The sequence below is a fragment of the Homo sapiens genome, chromosome 11 (assembly GCF_000001405.40).
Source record: "Homo sapiens chromosome 11, GRCh38.p14 Primary Assembly".
NCBI classification, from domain to species: Eukaryota; Metazoa; Chordata; class Mammalia; order Primates; family Hominidae; genus Homo; species Homo sapiens.
The window spans coordinates 27,290,277-27,298,489 of record NC_000011.10 but is presented as its reverse complement, the minus strand read 5'-3'; the positions used below and the strand labels follow the sequence as shown (position 1 = coordinate 27,298,489).

Below are 8,213 nucleotides of genomic sequence, written 5' to 3'. Positions count from 1 at the left end.
GTATCCAGAGCCTGAGGTTGTCTATATGTAGAGTTCTAGATAACCCTACATACAGATAGATACAGATAGATAACAAGCCCAGATAACCAGAGGCCATTGATTAGGGGGAAATGAGTGGGTTCCCAGAGGGGCTGACTCAATGAGGACCATTCACATATTCATTCATTAAATATTTGTTGAGTGTGCACTAGTGTCGAGGGTGGTGTTTGGTGTCCAGAATTTGAATGAACAATATAAACATGCTCCCTACCCTCGTGGAGCTTACCTGGAAGAGACTCATGTTAATTAGTGAATTAGTCACTGTTCATTCACGCTTTTCCAAAGCCATTAGAAATGCCAGGATGTACCTAATGTAAATGACGAGTTAATGGGTGCAGCACACCAACATGACACATGTATACATATGCAACAAACCTGCACGTTGTGCACATGTACCCTAGAACTTAAAGTATAATAAAAATATATATATATAAAATTAAACAATTAAAAAAAAAAGAAATGCCAGGATGAAAAGAGCTAAGAATTTAGTCAGTGCTGGGTTTTGTTGACTGAAAAAAGCTCTTCCTATATTCACTGTGTTGCTTGTTTAGGCTCTTCACAGAGCTAGCCAGTGAGACTGTGGTGTGCTCCTACATTTGAAAAAAATGCTTCCAAATTGCTACTTTCCTAGAAACGTCTCAATTTGCTACTAATCCTAGACATGCCTGTGGGAATGCTAGAATGCCTTCCTTGATTGCAATATCCACAGACTTTTTCTTAAATGTTAGTGAATATACACTGATTTATTCATTCTTTGAAAATACTCTGAATAATGGGCTGAAAAGATAACTGGATAAGCATGGAAAACACCATAATTAAGGGAAAGAGTAAGAGCTACAAAGTTAAACTTCCTTGGGTTCTTGACATCTCAAGATTGTAACCAGTAGTTATTGATGGGTTCTTAACTTGGGGTCCTTGGAGTCATGGAGGATCAGTGGACGCCCTTCAATGTGGTCCACAAATTTCCTGATATTGTATGGAAACATTTGTAAGTATGGGTTCATAACTCTCATCTGATTTCTAATGGGATCCCTTGAAAATCAAGAATCACTTCCATAAATTCCCTGAAAGTGATTTCATGAAGGTAGAAAGGATAGTAGCATTTATGACAGTATTCATGGATAATCACTATGGTGTGAATATTTATCCCCTCCAAAACTCATGTTGAACTTTGATCCCTGATGTGGCAATATTGAGAAGTAGGGTCATTAAAAGGTGATTGGATCATGAAAACTCTGCCCTTGTGAATGGATTAATCCATTCGTAGATTAATGAATTAGTGGGTTAATGGGTTATCACGGGAGTGGGACTGGTGGCTTTATAAGAAGAGGAATAGAGACTGGAGCTAGCCTTCTCAGCCCTCCCTGTCATGTGATGCCCTGTGCCACCCTGGGACTCTGCAGAGAGTCCCCACCAGCAAGAAGGCTCTCACCAGATATGGCCCCTCAACCTTGGAGTTCTTAGCCTTCATAACTGTAAGAAATAAGTTATTTTTCTTTATAAATTACCCAGTTTCAGTTATTCTGTTATAAGCCACATAAAACGGACTATGACCATGACTTTATGTAATTGCCATAGAATATGAGGCAGTGCAACAGAGCAATAGGGCCTAGGAGTCAGCAGACCTGATCTCTAGCTCTGGTTTCCTAGTTACCAGCCATGTGACCTTGCATAAGTGTCGGTCCCATTTCAGCCTCAGTTTGCCTACCTTTTAAATGGAGGAAACCATACTTCATGTGGCCTTATTTTAAATGATCAGATGTGTGTGAAAATGCTATTGAAACTTCAAGGCGTTATCTAAAAGCAAGAGATGTTTACTCTCATACCTGTAGTTGGTGTATGTTCTTGGTCACTAGAGGGAGCCTTAGCATTCAGGGGAAGAATAAGCTAGTGATACTTATTCTTGAAAGCTTGAGGCCTCTATGAGAAGTAATTCTTTAAAAAACTTGCGCTTTATAAATATCCACTTCGATTTTTTAGAAAATTCAGAGAAAGGTCTATAAAAGCAAATATGACCACAGTTCCTTGTGACATAGATTTTCCCACCCATTAACCCACAGGATTCTTCCTTTTAACTTTCTCTATGATAAATTTAGCTTGTTGAAAATCCTAATATTTATGTAGAATTAATTTAACAGCAAGAAAAAGAAAGTAGAAAACACAATTTTCCAGAAGGCCATAGGAAGAAAGTACTTTTCCATTAGCAAAAACAATCCATTGTAAATTCCATGGCACATGGTAATGCTGTTAGAGGATTTTTGTATCCAGGCAGGACAGGGGAAGTACATTGTCTAACTTTGGCTTTCGATGTCCTATTGGGACCTTCTGAAGTTCTTAACTGGTGTGTTTTCCTCCTGCTAGTGCTAGAGTGGGAGGAATCTTACTCATTTGAAAAGAGCTTGACTGTTACATCAGAGGACCCCAGGATGGTCTGAAGGAGGAGGTATGAGAGAATGAAACATACTGGACTTAGGCTGGGTGTGGTGGCTCACACCTGTAATCCCAACAATTTGGGAGTCTGAGGTAGATGGATTACTTTAGGTCAGGAGTTTGAGACCAGCCTGGCCAACATGGTGAAACCTTGTCTCTACTAAAAATACCAAAAATTAGCTGGTCATGGTGGTGTGCACATGTATTCCCAGCTACTTGGGAGGCTGAGGTGGGAGAATTGCTTGAACCTGGGAGGTGGAGGTTACAGTGAGCTGAGATCGCATCACGGCACTCCAGCCTAGGTGACAGGGTGAGACTCCATCTTTTTTTTAAAAAAGATACTGAACTTGTACTTCAGGGAATCAGAATTTCACTGACTCGTTGTGTATTTTGGAGACAATATTTGTCCCCCTTTGGGGCCTCAGTTTTTCTCTCTGATTCTGACCAATACTATCCCATGTACTCCACATGTATACACTCATGGTCTGATGGGCATTCCTTATCAAGTATGGGACATTAGGTGATTAGACTCAGGCCCCAGATCGTGAAAGGCAGTGTTTTGCAGGAGCACAAAGCCCCTAGATTTATCTAATTTTCAACCCAAATGTATCTGGAGAAGGTGGAGTCTTGATATTTCTCTTTATGGCCCTTCAGATTGTGTTTTCATTCTGCAGTATAACAAATGCCTTCAAAAAACAGTGAACTTCATTTTTTCACATACATTTGCAGGAAGCAATGTAAAAACTTAATTGCTAATGTTTGTTAGCAAAACTGGCCAATGAAATGGTCAAGCACTGATCTGCCAAGTTTCCTTGATTCTAAGATATACTCCCACAAACCCTCCCCTCCTTAATTTAACTTTTTTTAAAAACAGGGACATGTCTGTGTCTCATTTAAAGAAGCATTGACTACCCCTCCTGAAGAGCTATTATTAAATCTATGGTATTTCCTACAGTGAATGGCCTTTTTGAATTCAGCAAGTATTTTTGGAAATACTTTATATTTGTTTTGTGTATTTATCATACGTGGAGGTGCAATAAGCTCTTCTTTACTACCATTCAAGCTCGAGCTTGCGTTGCAGCTATTAGTGTCTCCAAAGTCATCCCAGCAGGAAGGGATTTCTCTCTGTTGACAAAGGCAGGAGACTGAAGGTTATAAAGGATGAATGAAGCCTAGCTAGGCTTGTTCATTGCAGTTTATGAGAAACAGCTGCCTTTCTTTGTCAAGGCGCTTGTTTAAGGCTTTCCTCTCCTTTCCCCTGAAGTGTAATAACTACCTGAGACTAATCAGCTGACTTGGGTCAGAACAAGCCAGAGGCTCTGCTAGCCCAGTTAAAGCATGCCTGCACCATGTTAGCAATAGGAAATTTTCTAGAACAAGGCAAATGGATTGATCAATGATTCCATTCATGATTATAGTCCAAGTAATTTTCTCCTTTTTTTGTTTTTCAGAGGCTGTTTCTTCTTAAAGCTTTCAAGTGGTGTATAAGTCCCTTTATGCTGCTATAAAGGAATACCCAAGACTGGGTAACTTACAAAGAAAAGAGATTTATTTGGCTCATTGTTCTGCTGGCTATACATGAAGCATAATGCCAGCATTTGCTCTGGTGAGGGCCTCAAGAAGCTTATAATCATGGAAGAAGGAGATGGAGAGCCAGCATGTCACATGGAAGCGTGAGAGGAAGCAAGAGAGAGGGGGGAGGAGGTGCTAGGTTGTTTTAAACAACCAGTTCTCTTGTGAACTCAGAGAAAACTCACTCATTACTGTGAGGACAGCAGCGGCAAGTCATTCATGAGGCATCCACCCCCATGACTCAAACACCTCCCACTAGGCCCACCTCCAACACCGGAGGCCACATTTCAACATGTGATTTGGAGGGGACAAGCATCCAATCCATATCAGGTGGGGAAGGTCAGGAGGTGGACAACAGAATCATTGTTGCCCAGTTTAGGACTTCTCAAATTTTAGTGTACATGGAAATCACTGGAGTTCTCATTAAAATGCAAATTCTGATTCCATAGGTCTGGGAGTGAAGTCAGTGGGTAGAAGAGCTGATTCAGCATTGCCAAGGCATTCCCAGGTGATCCAGTATGGCTGGTCTTTGGACCACACTGAGTAGCAAGGCCTTAAATAATTTGTATGTCTTGTGTTTCCTGTTTCAAGCTGATGCACGATGTTAGTAGGATGAGGAATACATTTTATAAGCTATCCCCCTATCTGTCAGAAATGAAGAATGAATAAGTAATGATTGCAAAGCATATGAAAAATCATGAGGTCACACATTCTGTCTTCTGAATTAACACTTCAAGCAGATCTGGTTTTTCTCATGAGATTGCAAAGCAACTGTTTATTTGAGCATCCTCTCCCCTCCCCTCCCCCTCCGCCTCCCCTCCCCTCCCCCTCTGCCTCCTCTCCCCTCTCCCTCCGCCTCCCCTCCCTTCCCTCTCTGCCTCCCCCACCTCCTCCCCTCCCCTCTTTTCTTTTCTCTTTTCTTTTCTTTTTTTCTTTCTTTTCATCTTAGTCTGTTGCCCAGGCTAGCTCGCTCACTACAGCCTCCACCTCCTGGGTTCAAGCGATTCTCATGCCTCAGCCTCCCGAGTAGCTGGGACTACAGGTGTATGCCACCACACCCGGCTAATTTTTGTATTTTTAGTAGAGACAGGTTTTTACCATGTTGGCCATGCTGGTCTCAAACTCCTGACCTTAAGTAAGCCGCCTGCCTCAGCCTCCCAAAGTGCTGGGATTACAGGCATGAGCCACCATGCTCAGCCTATTTGAGGTTATTTTTCATTGGTGGGCATCACGTTCTATACCACATTTATGCAGGAACACAGTAGGACAGCATGAGACTCAGTCTACCAATTCCTCTGGCTCTAAATCATCTGTTTTCTTCTTCTTTCTCTTACTACCAGGAAGTAATCCAATTATTGCTTATGCAAAGGGATGAGAAATTTCAGGTTTTTCTTGAATATTCTCTGGAGAGCTGCATTTTGGAATTGTTATAGTGAGTTTTTAGACCATTAATTTGGCTCATTTTATGTTGCTTTGGAGCTGCTGTTATTTTTACAATTTGTCTTATCTTGGTGAAACTGTAAGTTCATTGTAGTTGGAGGTCATGCCTCTATCTTTATAGGACTGGAAGATTGGAAGTGAACTTTACACTCATCAAGTCCCGTTTCCTCTTTAATATTTGAATTTCTACAAGCCAGCCTCTGCTTGAAATACAGTTGGTGATGGGGATCTTACTACTTTATATTCTAACCTTTGAACGGCTCTAAGTATGAGAAAGCTTTTCTATTATTGAATTTAGAGTGGTCTCCCTGTGGCTTTTGTCCACTAGCCCAGTTTTATTGACTGAGGGCAATTCTTTTGTCTTGAGTGGGGTGTGGACACTTAATGCATATTGTTGGATAATGACTTGTTCAGGCCTAGGTCGTGGGGTTCTCTGTGCCTTTGGCAATTCCTCATGCAGCAGAGTAGCCTTTAACTTCCGAGCTGTGGAATAAACCTGGGGCAAGGTCCAAAGCTGCACTGCCAGAAATTGCCTGAGCCAGGGTGAAGTAAAATAGTCACTCCTCATACGGACTTTATCTTGCTTGATTACAGGGGTTTACCATTTCCTGCATTTCCTTCTTACACCCATCCTGACTTAAGCCTTAAATCAAATGCAGGATGAAAATTCGTGATTACTCATGAATTTTCACTCAACAAGATCATTCAATAGGAATCTTTAAAATGGTGTCAATTTACAAAATATTTTTTTCTTTAGTCCTTACCTAATGCAAAATTTTAAAACTGGCAAAGTTGGACTTTGGTCCTTCTTTCCTATCCCTCTTCCGGAACCTTTCCACCCTTCCTGTTTTATGCTCCATGGGTGATCTGATCTCCAGGGATTCTCCCTTGCAGTATCATCTATGCCTTAGACCATACATTTCCTCTTTCCTCTTCAAAACTTACCTGTTTCCACTGTCTTATTCTTTCAGCAACTGGCTTTATGCAATGGGAACTTGGTTGCTAATGGGTTTTTCTCCCCTTAACAAATCCTTCATAATGTGTAAGATAGCTCTTGCTTTATCTGTCTACCTCAGTGTCATAATCTCTTAATCTTGTCAAACACGTGTTTCCAGATGGCCCTTATGGAATGGCTTTATAGTGAGGAAGGATAGGTATCATGATAAGGTCATGGATGAGAAAATGTTTTGGTCTGTGTGTCCCTCAGTACAAGTTCACATCATGCATTTCCCTCATTACATCATACTAGTCTCTATAAACAACAAAACAGCTCTTATTACATGGGATTATTAATTACAGCTACTTGCTATGTTCCAGGTACTGTGTCCAGGGCTTAATCGATTTCTCATTTAATGTTCACAACAATCCTGCCATGTAGGAAGAATTATTCTCATTTTACAGCAAACTGAAGTTCAGAGAGCATAAGGGAAATGGTTGTGCTTTAGTCAGGGGTAGGCTGAGGTGGCATAGCATGACTCAGCGGGTTTGGAGTGCAGGTGCACAACTCTGCACATTATGGAACCACGCCACATGAGGCGCATTAGGTGATCACCCACATGAGTTCCTGCTTGGCTCAGAGCCACTATTGTCTGTAAAAGGTATAACTACCCTGCTGTTGCTGTACATACAGCTTGCGCCCAGGCTCACTCATGCCCAGAGAGAGAGTAAAGCCATGTCAAAACTGTTTATGCTTCCTCGAGTGTTTTTCCAGCTACCTGCCACTTGCCCACCAACTCCCCTCGGACCTCAGTTAGAACCTAACAGAGAGGTTAGGTAATTTGCTTATCATCACATAGCTACTACATTGCAGAGACAGGGTTCAAACCAAGTTCTGTCTGACTGAAGCCCATGTGGCCTTCTTTTCTCTGATCACCCGAAGAACAGAAATCTAGGATTAGTGAGATTCCTTAGACAAGCCCTGCTTTGTCCACTTGCAATGTAACCTTCCTACTTCATCTAAGTGTGAAAAAACTACCACCTTCTTCTTCCCTGTTCTCTCAGCTTTCATCTCTCCCAGTTTTCTATGCTGAGAAAGGCTTTTTCTGGCTTCTACATGCACAAGAATAACAAATATCTGTTATTGAATTATAAGAATTTATTATGGAATGGGAGGGGGAATACTAAAAAATCCCATCTGGGGCCAATTAAAAAGAACTGTGTTCCCAAGTGTACGTGGTTTTTCTTTTTTCAGGAGAAGAACAGCTTCATCAACTCTTTGGTGCAGGAAGCATGGCATGGCTTCAGGGGAGCTGGGTGACTGAGATATCTCTGTACTATTTCTCAGAAGGCAAGATGGGTTCATCACCTTTAAATGACCAAGGCTCTACAGTGTCAGCCTTGGACCGAAGCATTTGTATCTGTGCCTAGATTTGTCACATTTTTTTAAAGGGCATCCCCATGAAAGTTTTTTGGAGGGACGGAGGGAATAAAAAGATGCCAAAATGCTGCTTTCAGGATAAACACATCAGTTTGCAAAAATTCATAGAGTTTCCCAGGGTGGCCACCCACAGAGGAGGCAACATCTGGTGGCCATGCTGTCACAACAGGGAGAGCAGTGCTTGGGCACAGGACAAAACAAAACATTCCTTATAACTGGATGGAATACATGTAGTTAGACTGGAGCCACGAGGCAACAGACCTCTGCAGGTCCAGAAAGTGCTGAGCTGAGAAAGTCACAGGACCCTATGTGCAGTCACACTTATCCTATGATGCCTCAGCAATTTTGAAATAGA

At 41.7% G+C, this 8,213-nt stretch overlaps 1 long non-coding RNA gene across 1 annotated transcript; it reads left to right on the top strand.

The window, feature by feature from the left end:
- Window positions 1–499: 499 nt before the first annotated feature.
- LOC105376601 (uncharacterized) lies at window positions 500–7,647 on the top strand. The gene is made up of 2 exons (XR_931142.3): window positions 500–2,482; window positions 3,921–7,647. It is a non-coding gene; the product is annotated as an uncharacterized LOC105376601 (long non-coding RNA).
- Window positions 7,648–8,213: the final 566 nt, after the last annotated feature.